The sequence below is a fragment of the Homo sapiens genome, chromosome X (assembly GCF_000001405.40).
Source record: "Homo sapiens chromosome X, GRCh38.p14 Primary Assembly".
Taxonomy (NCBI): Eukaryota; Metazoa; Chordata; class Mammalia; order Primates; family Hominidae; genus Homo; species Homo sapiens.
Window position 1 is genome coordinate 124,563,830 of NC_000023.11, and position 22,736 is coordinate 124,586,565.

At 36.7% G+C, this 22,736-nt stretch overlaps 1 protein-coding gene across 14 annotated transcripts in view; it reads right to left on the reverse strand.

Moving 5' to 3' along the window:
- TENM1 (teneurin transmembrane protein 1) overlaps positions 1 to 22,736 on the reverse strand; it is an 828,410-nt gene that overhangs the window by 187,927 nt on the left and 617,747 nt on the right. For 13 of the 14 annotated variants that reach the window (XM_017029210.3, XM_017029211.3, XM_047441760.1 and 10 more), the window contains one exon: positions 1,546 to 1,731. In XM_017029210.3, coding sequence (XP_016884699.1) covers positions 1,546 to 1,731 — 186 coding nt within the window. Of the gene's footprint in view, positions 1 to 19; positions 1,498 to 1,545; positions 1,732 to 22,736 lie in introns of those variants that run through there. The other variant, XM_011531236.4, reaches the window with a different exon arrangement.

Here is a 22,736-nt window from a genome sequence, read left to right on the forward strand (position 1 = left end):
ATATGTACTAATGGTTTACCATCTGTTGCCTGGGAGGAGAACAGCAAACTGCGCACTGCTGAAATGCCTGCAGCTCAAAAGTTGGGTACATGGGCCTGTGTAGTTTGTGAATAATATTTTCTGTGAGAACAATATTAATGGCATTTCTGCAAGAAACTCTATTAGGCTTCATAAAAAGTGTCATATTTCATTAGAAGTATAAGAACTGCATTTTCACATTTCAGTAATAACTCCTGTGAAAGAGCACTGGCTTCAACTTCTTATTAGTAATATCTTTAGAAGAGAGTTCTGGAGTAACCACCTATGGTAATCATCACAATATTTAAATCCTCTTATGTAAAGGCAATAAACTTACTGTAGTACAGGAATGTAATTACTTAAGCTACACATCTGAATCTCACCCCTCTCCACCTTTTTAATGAATCTTAAATATTTCCCACAGTTGCAGAACAAGACTTACTGTACCTTTAGTAGAGAAGTAATGCAGTTTATGAAGATTATATGTTATATGTATTATATATATTATACATTACTTTGGCAAGCTCCAACCATTATAACAAAATACTTTCACCTAAAAATGAAAGCTGTAGTATAGTCTAGTGAGGGAAAAGCCTACAAACAATAAATTGGGTATCCAGAGGCCCACATTTGCCTTTGCTCTGCATGAATTTTCTGTGTAGTCAAGGAATGCCACTGGAACACTCTGTGACCCCCTTTCTTTAGCTGAACAATGGGAATCATACTTGTTACTCTGTATTAATGACAACCTTTCTATGCAAAGATTTCTTGCATAGAAACCTTAGCGGTGGATAGAAATATATGTTAAGGGCTTTGCTTTTTTTCAGAAAAAGAAAGTGTTTTATAACTGAAATATTTATTTTTAATATCTTTTATAGTGTGAAGATCACATGATAAATTAATTATTACATAGGCTTTTCCATATTCACAGATCATTTTCCCTTTGTGAAATTAGCAATAAGGGGTGAAGGGAGAGTGGTGGCTTCAGGACCAACTCTCTACACTACCGGATAAACAATTCAACACACATGTTCTATTGATGATAGGTCAGAAGTGCCTTCCTCATATACATTAAAGACAGCCTCTAATGATATCGAATGGCCCCTGTTAAAGTAGTCCCATTTAATGAAATTGCCTCTAAGTGCTTTCAACTGAAACAACCTATACTTTTCAAAAGGAAAAATGGGCAGAGAATGTTACCTTCACTACAAAAGCACTTTTCTTATTAACTAATGACACCTTATTCCAATGTAACATCTTTCACTTGAGTAACTCAAAGCACTTGAAAGCAGAAAACATAAGGAATACTGAAGTAATAAGAAAGGAAATAACACAAGAAATACGTAGAATGTCATCGACAAAAGAAGAAACCTACCAGTTCACAAAACTTTAAAACTTGTAACCAACCCTCCTTCTCCTCCCCTACTCCAACCTCAAATTCTACTAAATGCCTTGTGATTGACTCACTAGACTGCTCTTAACTTCAACTAATCCAACTTACTTTGGTTAAAGTATGGTGGTACTTACCAATTGTGCAGTGGTCGCCCTCCCATCCAGGGCTACACTCACATTTTCCATCTTTGCATTGGCCATGCTCAGTACAATGAGAATGACAGGAGCGTTCCTCACATGTTGGTCCTACCCAGCCTTCTTCACACTGGCAAATTCCTCTTGAGCAGACTCCATGGCTACCACACTCCATGGTACACAGCTCTGTGGGGAATTCAAAGAAGACATATTAACATATTTTGTTAAAACCAGCATCCATTCTTCCAAAAAACATTATAATTACCAAAAATCCCTGTCTATATTTATATTTTATTTATTTATTATTTTAATAGAGATGGGGTCTTGCTGGGTTAACCAGGCTGGTCTTGAACTTCTGGCCTCAAGTGATCCTCCCATCTTGGCTTCCCAAAGTGCTGGGATTACAGATGTGAGCCACCATGCCCTGCCCATACTTATATTTTAAACAAAATGTTAATAAACAATTTATATAAACAAGATGTCACAAAGATCTCTAGCATCTGAATGAATGTGCAAGAAACTCTAAAAAGAGGTAGTTAAGTCTCTAAGAATAATATAAAACTCTAAGCCAAACTGATTCTGAGAAGTCTATAAAATGATAATGGCATTCAAGGCTTAGAAATGAGATTAATGACAAACAAATGCCAAGTGGGTTTCACTAAAAATTCATTAAGATCACAGATAATGTTGCAGGAATTTTATGATAGTATAAGGTATCACTGGGGGAAAAATCCCAATAAAACAGTGCCCTAACTTCATTCAGAAAGACAAGTTCATTAATTGGAAAGATAATAACTTTCTAATAAAATTCATAATATACAAAAGGTAAAGATGCCAATGATGACAACCAGCTGGTTTCCCTGATCATACTAACAATATTTGCATTTATTTTAAGCATATAAAATTAACCCTGGTTGATTAAAGTACACATCCTTCTTATCTTCAAATGCTACTAAGTATTTAGACAGTATAATAATGATGATGTGTACTGGCTCTGCTGAGTTTCTTTCCTTTGTCCCTTTGACTTTTTGTTGAGAAATGCTGAATATTAATAAAGTCATGACAGTAGATAAACCAACATAAAAGCATGGCAAGCCTCTTTCGTGATCTAATTCCCTTGCTGGAGGAAGAGAAGTAGGATAAAAACCTACGGAAAGAATGAAATATGTTTTGGGAACAATAGGCCACATATTCCTGAAAGGAAAAGAGGGTGTTCTGGAAGCCAGGTTGTCTCTTTCACAGTCTCAAATTCTGAAACTAGTTTAATATATTTAGAGGCATTGATATTAATATTCTCCACAGATAGCAGAGTTATTTTTCAGTAGATGACAATATTCTTCTGATAAAGCCATGATTATGAGTTTTATTATAATCTGGATCAATTTGTTCATGGGTTTACTCACAAGTATTCTTTGAAGGTCAGGGTATGATGGGAAGAGTAGTAAATTTGAAATAAAGATAACTGCATCCTTGATTCCTCTGCTTAGTACCTATGGACCCTTAGGCAACTTACTAACATATTGTCTTAATCTCTGTTTGCGTAAGAATGCAATAGAAGTAATAATACTTATACATCACAAAGCTGTTGGACAGATTTGAAATATAGTTTAGAGATGTAACCAACAGGACTTGCTCAAAATTGGATATAAGGGATGAAGGAAAGGGAAAAATAAAAGTTTGGCTTAAACAAGTGGATAGATAAAGCTGTCATTAATGAAATGGGAAAGGCTAAGGGAAAAATAAGGGTGGAAGATCAAAAAGATTAACCCTAAGATATATGTAAAAAGCCAAGTGAAAATGTCAGTGCAACCAGCAGAATATATGATTCTGACAGGCCAGGACTGGAGATATAAAATTGGCCATCATTAGCATATAGGTGGTATTTAAAGGCATGGAAATAACTGGTTGATACCTCTAAACAGGGAATAGAAGAGCCCTGAAGAAAGATCAGGTAGAAAAAAAGAGGAACCATCAAAGGAAACTGGGATGGAGATGGCAGTGAGTGATAGGAAGAAATCCAGGAGATTGTGGTGTAACTAAAGCACAAGAGGACACTTTTCAATAAAGGAGTGTTTAACTACATCTAATATTGCTGAGAGGTCAAGTAAGGCACGGGCAGAGAAGTGCCCATTGGATTTATCAACATGGAATTCGTTGATGACTTTAGGAAGAGCTGTACTGATAAAGGTGTAGTTGAAAAGCCAAATTGGAATGGGTGGAAAAGTGAATGGAAAGCTGTGCAGGGACTCATCAGGTTGTGAGAAAAGTCTAGGGCATAGAAAAACGTATCTTAAAAACGTGGGCCTTGGCTTAAAAAGTGGTAGCTCAGGTAGAATTATCCCAAAAGAACCCCTGGTCCCGAATCTTGGTCTGAATCTCTGATAATTTGTATTTATAACTTCAGTCCTTGTAGTAAGGCTGATATTATCATTCTGTTCCCCTTCACGGCCTCCTCCCAAGACATTAAAAACTGAACTGAAAGGGCCTTTATAAGATTAGGTGCTAATTGGTTAAAGCTAATCAAGTCAGCTCTGCCTAGAATAGTTAGAAGCAAACATTTTTCATATATTGCTTTGTACAACTATAAATCTTAGGCATAGAGGAGTATAACATTCTGATTTCTGTTTGAAAAGTAATAGGACTAGATGAACAGTATTGGCCAAATAGCAGAGTAGGCTATTTTCAAACTATCTCTATATAAACCATTAGAAATGTTGGATATAATGTAACAATTTTTTAAATTGCATGTCTTGGCTCACAAAAAAAGAGAAATCTTCAAGTGCCAGAAGCAAAGAGGATGCTAAAAGCCAAAGCAGTCAATCCTCTGGTAGCCTTGAGAGTTATTATACCCAATTACGACTAGGGGCTTGGGTACTTAAGTCCACAAGGAAAAAAGAGATGAGGTCTTGGCACCATTTCAGATGGAGTTGGACTAAATCTCCAGCATAAAGTTGGAGCCACTTGAAAGGCTGCAATCACAGTAAGATGGTGAGTAATAAACTGTACCCACTAGCCCAGAGAGATGACAAAGAAGTACTGACTATTGAGTATAAAATAATAATAATAAAAAATCTGGAGCTAGGAAACAATGTAGAAATAAAATACTATCGTTTAATAATATGTAAGATGGAGTGTCCTGAATGAAATATTTGGAAAGCCTTATATTATTCGGGAGTTAGGTAACTGGTACTTTGTCAAGTATGCATATGAAAACATAAAGGTGGAATTCTGTTTCTAGTAATAGGGACCTAAGTAATTTTTACTATTCCCTTCTGATGAGAACTAGAAAATCTAAACAAAATATATTTTTAAATCTTTTGGGAGTTAGTGGAGTTCACAAAACAGTAAAGAATTACTGTGCCAAGTTCCAGAAGAAAAAGAAAACCCAGAGAGAAGAGCCTGACATTTATGGATGCTTTTCCTATAGCAGCATCTGTCAATTATACTAGAGGGAGCTAGAAGGCTCAGAGGCTGAGTAGAGCTTTTTCAGTCTCATGGAATCAGAAAAAAAAATTGAATTGATAATGGCTAATACATTTCTAACATTGGCCAGGCACATTGGCATACACCTGTAATCCCAGCACTTTGGAAGGGTGAGGTGGGCAGGTCACTTGAGCGCAGGAGTTTGAGAACAGCCTGTGCAACATAGTGAGACTCCATCTCTACAAAAAATACAAAAAATAGCTGGGTGTGGTGGCATGTGCCTACAGCTACTCAAGAAGTTGAGGTGGGAGGATTGCTTGAGCCCAGGAGGTCGAGGCTGCAGTGAGCCATGTTCATGCCACTGCACTCTAGCCTGGGCAACAGAGTGAGGCCCTGTCTCAAACAAACAAACAAACAAACAAAACCCAACACTGAAGAAAGCAGTAAGCCAAATAAATGAAGCAAAATTGAAAGAAGAAGAAAGGGAAAAGGACAAATTCACAATCATAGTCAGAGACTTTACAGCCCCCCTCTCACACCAACTGATAGAGCAAGCAAACAAATCAGAAAGAATATGAAATATTTGAGCAACATGGTTAACAGATTTGATCTAATTGATACATACAAAACACTGCCATAAATGACTACAAAATACACATAATGTATTTCAAATGTATATAGAACATTTACAAATATTGACCACGTGCTAGGCTCTAAAGCAAGTCTTGATATATTTAGAAGTATTGAAATCATACATAGGATATTTTAAGCCCAGTATGAAATTAAATTTGAAATTTGTAATAGCAGATGAATCTAAGATCCATACATGCTTGGAAATCAAGAAATATACTTTCAAATAAAACATTAAACGAATAAGACATCATCATGAAAATTAGAAAAGAGATGGAAATGAATGAAAATGTGTAATATAACTAAATCCATGTGTACAGAAAAATTTATAAGGTAGAAAGAAAAACGAGCTGAAAAACCATGACCTAAGTATCGATTCTTAGAAATCAGAAAAAGAAAACCAATGTATACAAGAAAGTAGAAGGAAGAAAATGCTAATTATAAGAGCTGAAACTAATACAATAGGAATAAATATACTACAGAAAGAATCAACAAAGTCAATACTTGATGATTGGCTCAGACCAATAAAATTGATAAACTCCCGGTGGAGACTGATCAAGATGAAAATACAGAAGACCCAGATAAACAGTATCGGGAATAAAAAGTATGACATTGCTATACATAGTACAAACATAAAACATCCTAAGACAATATTACTAACAGCTTTTTGCCAATACATCTGAAATTTTTTATGAACAAATTTCTAGAATAATACAACTTAATAAACTACAAGAAAAAGTGGAAACTGAATAGTTTCTTTAAAGAAACTTAATCCATAATGGAAAACATTACCACAAAGAAAATTCCAGTCTCAGATGACTTCATTTGTAAATATACCAAACTTTTAAGAAAGAAAAATTGCCAATCTTAAATAAACTTTTCCAAAAAATAGAAAAGAGGAAACTCTTAACAATATGCCTTATGAGGTCAACATAATCCTGATATAAAATTCTGAAGGATATTATTTAAAAAATATATGACAGTCTTTCTCATGAAGATCTCATTCATGGATACAAAAATCCTAAACAAAAATTAACATAGCAAATCTAGCATTACATAACAAGAAATAATATCATGACCAATTTGTGCTTATTCTAGGAATATATTATAAGATTGCTTTCACATTTGAAAATTAACAAATGTAATTCATCACATATATGGAATAAAAGAGAAAAATCAAATTATCATCTCAATAGATACATAATAGGTATTTGATAAAATACTAAACATCCATTTATGATAAAAACTTGTAGCAAACTAAGACTAAAAGGAAATTTTAAGTTAACTTGTAATTAAAAGGAACTTTCAACTTTAATTTTAAAACTAAGACTAAAAGGAACTTTAAATTTGATAAAGAGTAGCTACAACACCCCATAGCAAACACCATAATAGTGAGATGTTAAAATCTTTTTTTGTGTTATTAAGACTGAGAAAAGATGCCTATGATCATCATTTCTACACAATATAATTCTGGAGGTCCTAGCCAATGAAATTATGCAAGAAAAAGGAAACTTGTATAAACACTGAAAAGGAATAAATAAAGTCATCATCACTCAAAGGCAGTACAACTTTAACTTAATGGACATATATAGGACCTCAAAGCTATGACTATACAATACATGTTCTTTCCAAGCACACACAGAATAACCCACAAAAACTGACAAAGATTCATCTACAAAGCAAGACTCAATAAATGCCAAAGATTCCACAGCATATGGATTATTCTGCTTCACAAAATGCAGTAAAATTAGAAATCAATAAACAAAAAGATAACAAAAGAAAAATCCCAGAAAGGTGTTCTTTAAAAACACACTTAAAAAGAATTCATGAATTATGTTTCAAAAATTACATTGGAATTAGAAATTGAGTAACAATGAAATACTATTTACAAAAACTTGTGGGATGCAGCTTAGACAGTAACTTAGAGGAAATTTACAGCCTGAAATGCATGTAGTAGAAAAGAAGAAGAATTGAAATCTAATGAGCAAAGTGTCCAAATCAAGGATTTAGAAAAAGGACTACATATAAGTAGATGAAGGACACAACAAAGCCAAGAGCAGAAGTTAATGAAATTGGAAACAAAGAAACAACAGAGAAGATCAACAAAATCAAAATCTGCATCTTTGAGATGAATATAAAAAATAGAGAAACCCATGGCAAGGTAATAGAGCTAGAAAAAAGGAAAAGAAAGAATACAAATAAACATTAAAGATTAAAATTCAAAAATAAATTAGAGACTGCTATTAACAACTTTATGCAAGTAAGTCTGAAACCTTAGATAAAGTAGATGTTTTTCCAGAAAACAAATGGACGTGAGAAGAAATAGAAAACCTGAGTACACATTAAAAACATTGAAAATTGCCCAGATGGTTTTACAGGTGTATTTTGTCAAATTTTCAAAGGACAGATAATCTCTATTTTAAACTATACCAGAGAACAGGAAAAAAGGGAAACCATCTTGAATCATTTTATAAGAATATAATCTAGTTCCAAAACAGTTCCAAAATAGGGTAAGAAAAGGAGAAAATGATTTTTTTTTTTTTTAAAGGTGGGATGTCTCTATTTTGCCCAGACTGGACTTGAACTCTTGAGCCCAAGTGATTCTTCCACCCCAGCCTCCCAAGTATCTGGGACTGCAGGTGTGTTCCACCTTGTCCAGCTCTAGAACTGATTTCTTAATAGGCCAATCTCACTTATAAACATGGCTGCAAAAATCTTCAAGAAAATATCTGGTAATCAAACCAAAAATGCACACACATACACACACACATGCGTACACCAGTATATAGAAGTCACAGCCAAATAAGCATGAATGCTAGGATGGTTTAACTTTAGAAAAATCTATCAATGTAATTCACCACTGAATTATTCCATTTTACTTTCACACATTTCATAATGATTAAAGAAAAATTATAATTTTATTATTATATGTAGAAAGAGTACCATTTAAAATTTAGTTCCTATTTATGATAGAATCTCCTAGAAAAACATGGCTAAAAGATAGCTTACTGAGTATGGTAAAGGTGATTTACCAAAATCCTATAGTAAGCATCATATTTAGTACAGAAACAGAGTAATATATTCCTTTTAATGTCAGAAGAAGTACTAGAATTAACTACAGCTTCTAACTCAATGTTGTATTGGAAATCTTAGTCAGCACAAAAAGGCAACCAAAGACATAAAAAATTGGAATGCCTGAAAAGGAAGAGGTAAAATTGAACATACAGGTAAACTATGAAAGCTACAAGGTTTCTGGATGTAAAATCAAAAGGAAAAAATCAATAGCATGCCTAGATATTGGGGACAGCAAATTAGAACACGTACTTTTTTTTTCTAAATAAAAGGTTCCATTAAAAATAATAGCACATATAGCAAAAAAAAGGTTCCATACTCCTTTACATAAAATTTTAAAACTTTATTGAAGAACACATAAAAAGACCCAATCAATGGAAAGATATACTGTGTTCATGGCTCACAAGGCTTAATATCATTAGAATGTCAATTTTTCTGTACTAGCTCTATAAATTCAATGTAATTCTGGTAAATATCCCATCATAGAGCTTGAAACATGATCCTAAAATCTATATGAAACAGAAAAGGCCAAGAATATCCAAGAACATTTTGAAGCATACCTATTAATACTAGGGGGTGTGTATGTCTGTCTGAACCTAAATATCCATCAATGGGAAAGGATATATAAATTTTAGTATATTTATGCAGTGCAAAAAATATAGCAGTTAACTTGAATAAGGTAGAGATCCATGCCTGAATATGGATAAACTTTAGAAACATAATGATGAAGGAGGAAAGCAAGTTATTCATATGAAATTTAAACACATGTAGAAAAATACATTTTATGGATATATACATATTTGGAAAAGCCTAAACATGTGTATTGTATGACAATGAATAGACTGAGGATAGTGGTTTCTGCTGCAGAGAAGAGAGGCAGATGGGATCACAAAAGTATACATAGGGACTTTGTTTGTATTTATTAATTTTTAAAGCAAAGTAGTGGGTTTACAGCTGTTCATTATGTTATCTTACATGTCTGAAATATTTCATAATAATTTACAAAAGAAAAAGAGAATCAGTAAAAAACAACTGTCTTTAGAACTGACTGTTCTATTGAATAAATAACTGGAGATATTACTTAACCTAACTCTTACACAATACCCTCCACAGATACAAACCACAACCACGAGTCGGATAGGATTCAGCACAGTAAGAATCCAGGTGGGAAGCAATATCCTCATGAATGAGGGAATCCTCTACAAAATGAATTACTACAAATGGAGAAGCAGATCTTAAGCAATAAGCATTCCTCATTTTGAACTGCATCAACATTTCTGCAATTGCATCCAGTTCCAAATAGAGTTTCTGGACTGATTCTAAGATGTTTTTCAATCCCAATCTTCCTATAATCAGCAGTGGGGTTGGTGTGGGTGAAGAACTAACAGAAAACAGATGCTGGCAATTGTATAATTTATAAACAAGATAGAAATGATATTTGCTCTAATACATTTGTCTCATGAATAGTTCTATTTCCTGTGTAATATTTTCTATCTTGTTGAAAATACATTAACATTACAGGCTACAAAATATGACAAAAGAATGCTAAAATATAAACATTCTTCTGTGCAAATGTATTGGAAAAGAACATGAAAAATATAGGCAGACACTTTAAAGTTCTATTGAGACATTTCATTTTTAATAAGTTTCTTTATGCATGTCAACAATGAACAACACTTGTATAAATTGAACTCAGATACAACTGGAACACTTCTTTGTTGCATGCTGACAAAGAACAATTTGATTAAACAGTAAATCCTTCAGAGCCTCCCTCAGAACCACTTCTCTGAGATTTACTTTTTAGGCAAAAGTTTCTAGTAATGTAAACTCTGTTATTCTTGACCCCTCTGCCTTCTCCAATATTAGATGGTGATCATATTTGGCACCCCAAAAGATTAAATCTGGTTATCAGTTTCTAAAGTATACATTTATGTAAAAATTTCAAGATTAAAATATGGCATTCTAAACAAGGAAAAGACACCTCTGATGTAAAAATTCATAAAAATTAAGAAATTATTACATATTCACTTGCCCAGCATCTGGTAGAATCAATTAAAGATCAGAGTAAATTAGGCTGAAAGGGAAAGCACAGGGAAGAACAGAGAATGAATGAGCCTGAATAGACAGAGACCCTCTCTTTCTTAGACTTTACTGCAATTTTTGTTGGGGAAACTAAACTATGAGGATTTTTCTCATTGTTTTGTATGATTAATATTAGAAATAACAGTAAGAAAAAAAAGTAAGGTTATATTGGCAAGTGTAGGCAGTGCCAGCTCAAGCTGTTTGTTTAAGGGCTGAAAAAAATTTTGGTGTACACCAAAAATTTCACTAAAATCAAGCAATGATTCAACTAATAACAGTAAACATTATTACAAACAAAAGTTTGTGTACTGTGTGTTGTTTCACCAAGTATTTGGATCATTTTCATTTTACTGATTTCAACTCCTTCCATTTCTCAGTAGTAAATATTCTACTAGAAAGTAGGACTACTATAAGTCACTGTTAACTTTATATCAGTAGAACACACGTGCACACATGCATGCACATGCACACATATATACATGCATGCACACACATATTTTTGGTGTCTATTTCTCTAAAAGTAATTAGAAGAACATATTAGTTGATGAGGTATCATATCTGTTTTATTGCATATGGTTAAATTAAATACCATCTCTAACCAATCTTTACAAGTACCTTGCTATGATAAAGATTTGGCTTTACTGTGGGATAAGTATCACGTTTTCTATGCTTGAAGTATAATAGTATCTCCTCATTTTAACACAGAAAACCTATAACATAATACTTGTCCCTCAGCCTCAGCTTTACAATGATGCTTCAATGTATCTTAGTAGTTTTAATACTATCTTAAATCTGAACAATTAAACTGAAGAGATTCAAAATGATACAAAATGTCAGCTAGCTTTAACTGAACAAATAGCAACATACAAGCAGCATAACAACAGCGACACACTCCAGCCTATATAAAACCTTGAGAGGATTCTCAAATTCTTGATGGATAAGAACAAAAATCCCAAGGAATCTAGCATGTGAAGATCAAAAGTTGTAATGACTTTGAGCTTAATGTTTCATGGATCTTGACTGTCACATGGTTTTGGATTTCCTTTATAAAGGAACTGGTTAACTGTTCTTTGGTAGGTCTGAATAACCTGACAAGACAGAAAAATCCATGCCTGACTTACAACTTTTGAATTCGATAAAATAAGTCAGTTGGCCTTTTCACTATACAGAATCTTTCCTTTGGAATAAATCCTGTTTCCTTGCTTGCTAAATAAAATATTCTCCCTAACTCTAGATGTCACATTTTGGTTAGCTTAGTGATCAGAAGCTCAAACTATTGAAGATGAGGTGAACTTCTACTCATTTGTAGCTACAGACTGCAAGAGCATGTTTCAATCCTTTGATTATAAACCTGACACTTTTGCCTATCCAAATAGTATCCTCAAATGCCAAAGAATGTTGAAATCTAGACATTTGCTTATCATTTGACCCATTAGGTACCAGATTGTCAGGGTAAAACCCAACCCTAAAGGAGCAAATATTAACTTTTTTTTTTTGAGACGGAGTCGCACTCTGTCACCCAGGCTGGAGTGCAGTGGTGTGATCTCGACTCACTGCAACCTCCACTTCCTGGGTTCAAGTGATTCTCCTGCCTCAGTCTCCTGAGTAGCTAAGACTACAGGTACACACCACCATACCCAGAAAATTTTTGTATTTTTAGTAGAGACGGGGTTTTGCCATGTTGGCCAGGCCGGTCTCGAACTCCTGATCTCAGGTGATCCACCTGCCTCGGCCTCCCAAAATGCTGGGATTATAGGCATGAGCCACTGTGCCCAGCCCCGCAAATATTAACTTTTAAGGCTCATGATCTGTCATGAGTGGTAGGCCATGGGATTGCTCAGCCATGGCAGAGTTTGTTTTTGGTTTATCTACAGCTTTTCACTTAGACTTTCTTATCATAATTGCCGTCTAGGTGCAGTTTGTGACCACCTAAAAGGGCAAGCTTAACTGCCTCACAGAGGCATGAAATGCATGTCTTAGACATCAGTAAAACAGTGCTCTCACTTATAAAACTATATACACTATATAGTGTATATCATTTATAAAACTACTACTGGAACAATTATACTGCATCTTGTCTAAGAGTGGCTACTTAAGAACTATTTCTTGGTAAGTTAGAAAGCTACTTTTCGTATATAAAGTTTAACATTCTTGGGCATAATTTGGTAAAAATGTTAAAATTGCACCAGGCAGAATTTTTTCTCCCTTTTATGAATGATATTTGACCTGCTTTCCCTTTTTCAGAAAATTCTGACATTAGCTCTCCTCAAAATGAATTTTTGTTAGTCCCCTTAATGCACATCTAAATTACCTACATGGTGTTATTCTAAGGCAATAAGCCTCCCAACTTAGCAAAGAAACTCTACAAACCAAAGATCTTCAAATACACGTCTAAGTCCCCAAGCAAATCTGATAGCATACTTCAGTGGCAAAGCCAAAGCTGTATGCTGGAAGAACACTTCACGAAGACTAAAAGTCTTACTCTAAATGAGAAAGAGCTCACAGACTTGTCTTCCCCATCCCATTCAACACTATTGCTAAGGGCTCACCATGCTTTAGAACGCTAACTCTAACTGGAGTCCACAAGAGAGACGATACTAGCAATCATCAGGCAACCTTTGCAACGGTGGTAGGCTTCTGCATCCTGAATGCAGAAGGTGTGTTCAAGGCATTACAAAGGCATGGAAAGCAGCTTTCTGTCAAAGACCTGGGCAGGGGCTGCATACATATTTACAAAGCTGCCATCATAGCCCAACAGACCATGCACCAACAGTTTATTTTTACCCTTATAAATAAGCATGACAGGGGAGAAAAGAAACGTAAAGAACCCAGAGTCAACAAAATCCTCAGCATGATGAAGAAAAAAGGCATATAAATGTCCTTATATAGTATTTCAATGCATAGTTTAGTGTCATTTAAGACATTTAGTTTTAAAAAAATTTATAGTTTTACTCTATGGCAATCATCAAGGCTCTATGGTTATTAGTGTCATCTGAACTTTAAGACATATATTTTGTCTTAAGACATATGTTTCCTATGAGTCGCCACACCCATTCTTCTAAGGATTAATAATGGAGTAAAGTATTTGACTTTATGTCTATCCTTGTCTTATGCTATCGACATTCTAGTGAGGTTACAATGTACTGTAGGAAAGCTATGAGGAGGTAGTATATCAATCTAGGTACATTTACACGAAGTTAAAGTCCTTGGCTCACTCTCAATTTCACAAATAACATGCATGCTACGCATTTCTACCTGGCTAAGCCACCGGCACCTTTAAACTCAACATGTTTATAACCTACATTTTAATCTCGACTCATGAATCAGTTCTTTATCCTGATTTCACTATTTTTTTTTTTTTTGAGGCAGGGTCTCACTCCGTTGCCCAGGCTGGAGTGCAGTGGCTAGATCATGGCTCACGGTGGCGTTAACCTCTCAGGCTCAAGCAATCCTCCCGCCTCAGCCTCCTGAGCAGCTGGAACTACAGACACATGCCACCATGCCCAGCTAATTAAAAAAAATTTTCTGTAGAGATTGGGTCTCACTATGTTGCCCAGGCTGGTCTTGAACTCCTGGGCTCAAGCAATCTTCCTGCCTTGGCTTCCCAAGTAGCTGGGATTACATGAATGAGCCACCACATCCAGTCTGATTTTACTATTTTTGTTAATATCGTGATAATAGTCCTAGTTTCCAAGGTTAGGATATTTGGCATTACGCTTTCATTTTCCTTTTGCCTTATGCTCATATCCAACTACATCTTTCAGTTCTTCTGTTTTCAACACTTCTTCAATTTCTCTCTCTCTGGAAGGCCAGGATAGCATAGTGATTAAGAGTACGGACTCTAAAGCCTGATTTCCTGGTCTCGAATCCTAGCTCAGAGATCGATTAACTATGGGACCCTGAGCATCTCACTAAATCTTTCTATGCTTTGGTTTCCCATCTATAAAATCGGGTTGGTACAAGGAACAAATGAGTCAATATATGTAAAGTGCTTACATATATTACATATAGTGCTGGGTACATAAGTATTACATAACTGTTAGAAATTATGACTGCCTCTGTTTCCAATACACTTATCTGGCCCTTCACCATCTTTTGTCTTGAGTCTCACAAAAGCCTCCTCATCGGCTTCACAAATGCTCTGTTCTCTTTTTAAACATCCCACATACAACTATAAGCTAGAACAACAGAATCTTAGGGCTTGGGAAAACTTTAAAATTCATCTGGCCAGCCCCTCACTTTGACATACAAACTTCCTACCTTTCCAATATTTTCCCAAAAGTTCAGCTATACGTCACAAAGCCAGTCAATTCTATATTTACGCAGCCATATTAGAAAGTAATTTGTTGATTTGAACTGAAATCTGCTGTCCATCTTCTTTCACCAATTAGATTTATTTGTGTCCTTTAATTCTGCCAAAAATTATCATACTCTCTTTTCTACTGGTCAGCCTCTCAGATCATTGAAGATAGCTATTTAATCTCAATTAAATTTTTCTTCATCTAGCCACCCTTGAGTCCTACAAATGTTGCTCATGTTACATTGTTTGCTTACCCTTAACATATTGGTTACTCTTCTCTGCACAAAGCACAGCTCTGGTCACACACTACATATAAAAATATTTCATAGTTCACCAAAGCACACTGAAGTCCAAAATCCTTAGCCTAGAAATCTAAACTCTCTCTAACCAAGCCCCAATTGTTACTTTTTTGACTTTGGTTTTCACGGTTCTCCAGCTTGCATCCTTTGCTACAGACAAATTTGACTGCTAGCCCTATTCTATTTAGTAGAATCACCTTCTTTTCATGCTTTGGGGCTCTACAATGTTTTCCCTTTCTTTTTCAAGGCCTTTCCCACAGCCTATCTCTACCTGCACAAATGATTTTTCCACTTGAAGCTTGAATGACACCTTCTTCAGGCAACAGTCCATGGTCTAAGATGCTCCAAGGCAGGGATGACCTTCTCCTCTTCTATACTATTATAGAGTTTTGTTTACACATATATTATGATTGTTATTGCATACCATCTTTTATTGTAGTTTTTATACATATGCATTATTCTTCCCACTATATTGTAAGTTGATGAAGGCAGGAACTAGGTCTTAATCCTTTTTTTCTCTTTCACACATTTCTAGCACATAAGCACTCAATAAATATCTGTAGGATTATTTCATGAATTGATTTAACAAACATTTATTGAGTACTCTGCATAGCTCAGGGCAAACTTGAGCTTTATATACTTTGATTAAATAAATTACTGATGAACATAAAAGTATCTGAAATTTTCAGTCTGAGTGACTAGAAAAATGTTGGCATCATTGAGGGAAACCAGGAAGTCAGGATGAGTTATGTTTGGTTTTGGTTGTGTTTAATTCAAGGTGCTGGCAAAAGATGCAGAATGATAGGTATTTGCTAAGCTGGCATATGGATAGGCATTTACTAAGCTAAGATTCTATTATTGGAGCTTACAGTTGTGTGTGGGAAAGCTGCATGCTAGGTGCTAATGTGGATCAAAAAAGAGGCAGGAAAGAGGGTGGTGCTAATTCATCGGCACTTGTCTGAGATTAACATTAAATCAAAGTAACGACATAAAAAATAGTGGCTACAATGTAAGGAAACACTGTCAGTGTCCATTGACAGACAAATGGATAAAGAAAATGTAGTATATATACAATAAAATACTATTCAACCTTAAAAAAGAAGGAGATCCTGCCATTTGCTACACATGTGTGAACCTGGAGGATGTTACGCTAAGTGGAATAAGCCATGTGCTGAAAGGTAAATACTCTATGATCTCACTTATATGTGGAATCTTATATATATATATGTATATATACACATATACATATATACACATACATATAGATATACATGTATATATGTATGTGAATATATACTCATATATGTCTATATACACATGTGTGTGTATATATATGCACACACACATACACACAGAGTTAGGGAATAAAATAGTGGTTATGGAGTGGGGTTGGGGAGAGGAAATGGGAAGATACAGGTTAAAGGACACAAAGTAGCAGATATGCAGGATGAACAAGTCTAGAGATTTAATGTACAACATGAGGACCATAGTTAATATAATTGTACTGTATTAATAATTTTTTATTTTTTATTTCATTAAAAAGTTTTTTTACCTTTTATTTTAGATTCAGGAGGTACACATGCAGGTTTGTTACCTAAGTACATTGCATAATGCCGAGGTTTGGGGTATGAATGATCCTGTAATCCAGGCACTGAGCATACTACCCAACAGCTAGTTTTCAACCCTTCTCCCTCTCTTCCTCCCCCTATAGTAGTTCCCAGTGTCTTTTGTTGCCATCTTTATGTCCCTGAGTATTCAATGTTTGGCTCCCACTTATAAGCAAGAACATGCAGTATTTGGTTTTTCTTTCCTGTGTTAGTTTGCTTAGGATAATGGCCTCCAGTTCCATCCGTGTGGCTACAAAGAACAATACTTAGTTCTTTTTTTTTTTTTTTTTTTTTTGAGGTGGAGTCTTGCTCTGTCACCCAGGCTGGAGTGCAGTGGCACAATCTCAGCTCACTGCAACCTCCACCTCCCGAGTTCCAGGGATTCTCCTGCATCAGTCTCCTGAGTAGCTGGGATTACAGGTGCGTGCCACCACGTCCGGCTAATTTTTTTGTATTTTTAGTAGAGACAGGGTTTCACCATGTTAGGTAGGATGGTCTCCATCTCCTCACCTGGTGATCCACCCACCCCAACCTCCCAAAGTGCTGGGATTACAGGCATGAGCCACTGCACCCGGCCTATTTAGTTCTTTTTTTATGGCTACATAGTATTCCATGGTACATATGTACCACATTTTCTTTATCCAAGCCTCCATTGATAGGCATCTAAGTGATCTCAAGTCTCTGTTACTGTGAGTAGTGCTGTGATGAACATGCAAGTGGATGTGTCTTTTTGGTAGAACAATTTGTTTTCTTTTGTATATATCCCCAGTAATGGGACTGCTTGATTGAATGGTAGTTTTGTTTTAACTTCTTTAAGAAATCTCCAAGTTGCTTTCCACAGTGGTTGAACTAATTTTCACTCCCACCAACAGTGGATAAGTGTTCCTTTTTCTTCACAGCCTCACTAGCATCTGTTATTTTTTTTAACTTTTTCATAGCAGCCATTCTGACTTAGGTGAGATGGTATCTCACTGTGGTTTTGATTTCCATTTCGCTGATGATTAATGATGTGGAGCATTTTTTCATATGTTTGTTGGCTACTTGTATGTCTTCTTTAGAGAAGTGTCTATTCATATCTTTTGCCCTTTTTTTTAAAAAGCATTATTTTATTTTAAGTTCCGGGATGCATGTGTGGGATGCGCAGATTTGTTACATAGGTAAACAGTGCCATGGTGGTTTACTGCACCTATCAACCCATCACCTAGGTATTAAGCCCCACATGCATTAGCTATTTTTCCTGATGATCTCCCTTCCCCACACCCCAATAGTCCCCAGTGTGTGTTGTTCCCCCCCATGTCCATGTGTTCTCATTGTTCAGCTACCACTTATGTATAAGAACATGCAGTATTTGGTTTTCTGTTCCTGTGTTAGTTTGCTGAGGATAATGGCTCCCAACTCCATCCATGCCCCTGCAAAGGACATGATCTCATTCTTTTTTAAGGCTGCATAGTATTCCATGGTGTGTATGTACCATATTTTCTTTATCCAGTCTATCATTAATGTTTTTTGTCAATTTTAATGGGATTATTTGTTTTTTCCTTGTTCAATTGAATCAATGGATTCTTCCAATCTATGAGCATGGAATGTTTTTCCATTTGTTTGTGTTATCTATGATTTATCGGAGCAGTGTTTTGAAGTTCTCCTTGTAGAGATCTTTCACCTCCTTGGTTAGATGTATTCTTAAGTATTTTATTTTTTTGTGGCTACTATAAATGGGATTGTATTCTTGATTTGGCTCTCAGCTTGAACATTATTGGTATATAGAAATGCTACTTATTGAGGTGGAACAGCTCCGGTCTACAGCTCCCAGCGTGAGCGACACAGAAGATGGGTGATTTCTGCATTTCCATCTGAGATACTGGGTTCATCTCACTAGGGAGTGCCAGACAGTGGGCGCAGGACAGTGGGTGCAGCACACCGTGTGCGAGCTGAAGCAGGGCGAGGCATTGCCTCACTCGGGAAGTGCAAGGGGTCAGGGAGTTCCCTTTCCTAGTCAAAGAAAGGGGTGAATCGGCACCTGGAAAATCGGGTCACTCCCACCCTAATACTGTGCTTTTCTGACAGGCTTAAAAAACGGCACACCAGGAGATTATATCCCGCACCTGGCTTCGAGGGTCCTACGCCCACGGAGTCTCGCTGATTGCTAGCACAGCAGTCTGAGATCAAATTGCAAGACTGCAGCGACGCTGGGGGAGGGGCACCCGCCATTGCCCAGGCTTGCTTAGGTAAACAAAGCAGCTGGGAAGCTCGAACTGGGTGGAGCCCACCACAGCTCAAGGAGGCCTGCCTGCCTCTGTAGGCTCCACCTCTGGGGGCAGGGCACAGACAAACAAAAAGACAGCAGTAACCTCTGCAGACTTAAATGTCCCTGTCTGACAGCTTTGAAGAGACCAGTGGTTCTCCCAGCACGCAGCTGGAGATCTGAGAACGGGCAGACTGCCTCCTCAGGTGGGTCCCTGACCCCTGACCCCCGAGCAGCCTAACTGGGAGGCACCCCCCAGTAGGGGCAGACTGACATCTCACACGGCCGGGTACTCCTCTGAGACAAAACTTCCAGAGGAATGATCAGACAGCACCATTCACGGTTCATGAAAATCCACTGTTCTGCAGCCACTGCTGCTGGTACCCAGGCAAACAGGGTCTGGAGTGGACCTCTAGCAAACTCCAACAGACATGCAGCTGAGGGTCCTGTCTGTTAGAAGGAAAACTAACAACCAGAAAGGACATCCACACCAAAAACCCATCTGTACATCACCATCATCAAAGACCAAAAGTAGATAAAACCACAAAGATGGGGAAAAAACAGAGCAGAAAAACTGGAAACTCTAAAAAGCAGAGCACCTCTCCTCCTCCAAAGGAATGCAGCTCCTCACCAGCAACGGAACAAAGCTGGATGGAGAATGACTTTGACGAGTTGAGAGAAGAAGGCTTCAGACGATCAAACTACTCCGAGCTACAGGAGGAAATTAAAACCAAAGGCAAAGAAGTTGAAAACTTTGAAAAAAATTTAGAAGAATGTGTAACTAGAATAACCAATACAGAGAAGTGCTTAAAGGAGCTGATGGAGCTGAAACCAAGGCTCGAGAACTACGTGAAGAATGCAGAAGCCTCAGGAGCTGATGCGATCAACTGGAAGAAAGGGTATCAGTGATGGAAGATGAAATGAATGAAATGAAGCGAGAAGGGAAGTTTAGAGAAAAAAGAATAAAAAGAAACGAACAAAGCCTCCAAGAAATATGGGACTATGTGAAAAGACCAAATCTACGTCTGATTGGTGTACCTGAAAGTGACGGGGAGAATGGAACCAAGTTGGAAAATGCTCTGCAGGATATTATCCAGGAGAACTTCCCAAATCTAGCAAGGCAGGCCAACATTCAGATTCAGGAAATACAGAGAATGGCACAAAGATACTCCTCGAGAAGAGCAACTCCAAGACACATAATTGTCAGATTCACCAAAGTTGAAATGAAGGAAAAAATGTTAAGGGCAGCCAGAGAGAAAGGTCGGGTTACCCACAAAGGGAAGCCCATCAGACTAACAGCGGATCTCTCGGCAGAAACTCTACAAGCCAGAAGAGAGTGGGGGCCAATATTCAACATTCTTAGAGAAAAGAATTTTTAACCCAGAATTTCATATCCAGCAAAACTAAGCTTCATAAGTGAAGGAGAAATAAAATACTTTACAGACAAGCAAATGCTGAGAGATTTTGTCACCACCAGGCCTGCCCTAAAAGAGCTCCTGAAGGAAGCACTAAACATGGAAAGGAACAACTGGCACCAGCCACTGCAAAATCAAGCCAAAACGTAAAGACCATCAAGGCTAGGAAGAAACCGCATCAACTAAAGAGCAAAATAACCAGCTAACATCATAATGACAGGATCAAATTCACACATAACAATATTAACCTTAAATGTAAATGGGCTAAATGCTCCAATTAAAAGACACAGACTGGCAAATTGGATAAAGAGTCAAGATCCATCGGTGTGCTTTATTCAGGAAACCCATCTCATGTGCAGAGACACACATAGGCTCAAAATAAAAGGATGGAAGAAGATCTACCAAGCAAATGGAAAACAAAAAAAGGCAGGGGTTGCAATCCTAGTCTCTGATAAAACAGACTTTAAACCAACAAAGATCAAAAGAGACAAAGAAGGCCATTACATAATGGTAAAGGGATCAATTCAACAAGAAGGGCTAACTATCCTAAATATATATGCACCCAATACAGGAGCACCCAGATTCATAAAGCAAGTCCTGAGTGACCTACAAAGAGACTTAGACTCCCACACAATAATAATGGGAGACTTTAACACCCCACTGTCAACATTAGACAGATCAACGAGACAGAAAGTTAACAAGCATACCCAGGAATTGAACTCAGCTCTGCACCAAGCAGACTTAATAGACATCTACAGAACTCTCCACCCCAAATCAACAGAATATACATTTTGTTCAGCACCACACCACACCTATTCCAAAATTGATCACATAGTTGGAAGTAAAGCTCTCCTCAGCAAATGTAAAAGATCAGAAATTATAACAAACTGTCTCTCAGACCACAGTGCCATCAAACTAGAACTCAGGATTAAGAAACTCACTCAAAACCGCTCAACTACATGGAAACTGAACAACCTGCTCCTGAATGACTACTGGGTACATAACGAAATGAAGGCAGAAATAAAGATGTTCTTTGAAACCAACCAGAACAAAGACACAACATACCAGAATCTCTGGGACACATTCAAAGCAGTGTGTAGATGGAAATTTATAGCACTAAATGCCCACAAGAGAAAGCAGGAAAGATCTAAAATTGACACCCTAACATCACAATTAAAAGAACTAGAAAAGCAAGAGCAAACACATTCAAAAGCTAGCAGAAGGCAAGAAATAACTAAAATTAGAGCAGAACTGAAGGAAATAGAGACACAAAAAACCCTTCAAAAAATTAATGAATCCAGGAGCTGGTTTTTTGAAAGGATCAACAAAACTGATAGACCGCTAGCCAGACTAATAAAGAAGAAAAGACAGAATAATCAAATATACGCAATAAAAAATGACAAACGGGATATCACCACCGATCCCACAGAAATACAAACTACCATCAGGGAATACTACAGATACCTCTACACAAATAAACTAGAAAATCTAGAAGAGATGGATAAATTCCTCGACACATACACCCTCCCAAGACTAAACCAGGAAGAAGGTGACTCTCTGAATAGACCAATAACAGGCTCTGAAATTGTGGCAATAACCAATAGCTTACCAACCAAAAAGAGTCCAGGACCAGATGGATTCACAGCCGAATTCTACCAGAGGTACAAGGAGGAACTGGTACCATTCCTTCTGAAACTATTCCAATCAATAGAAAAAGAGGGAATCCTCCCTAACTCATTTTATGAGGCCAGCATCATCCTGATACCAAAGCCGGGCAGACACACAACAGAAAAAGAGAATTTTAGACCAATATCCTTGATGAATATTGATGCAAAAATCCTCAATAAAATACTGGCAAACCGAATCCAGCAGCACATCAAAAAGCTTATCCACCATGATCAAGTGGGCTTCATCCCTGGGATGCAAGGCTGGTTCAATATACGCAAATCAAGAAATGTAATCCAGCATATAAACAGAACCAAAGACAAAAACCACATGATTATCTCAATAGATGCAGAAAAGGCCTTTGACAAAATTCAACAACGCTTCATGCTAAAATCTCTCAATAAACTAGGTGTTGATGGGACCTATCTCAAAATAATAAGAGCTATCTATGACAAA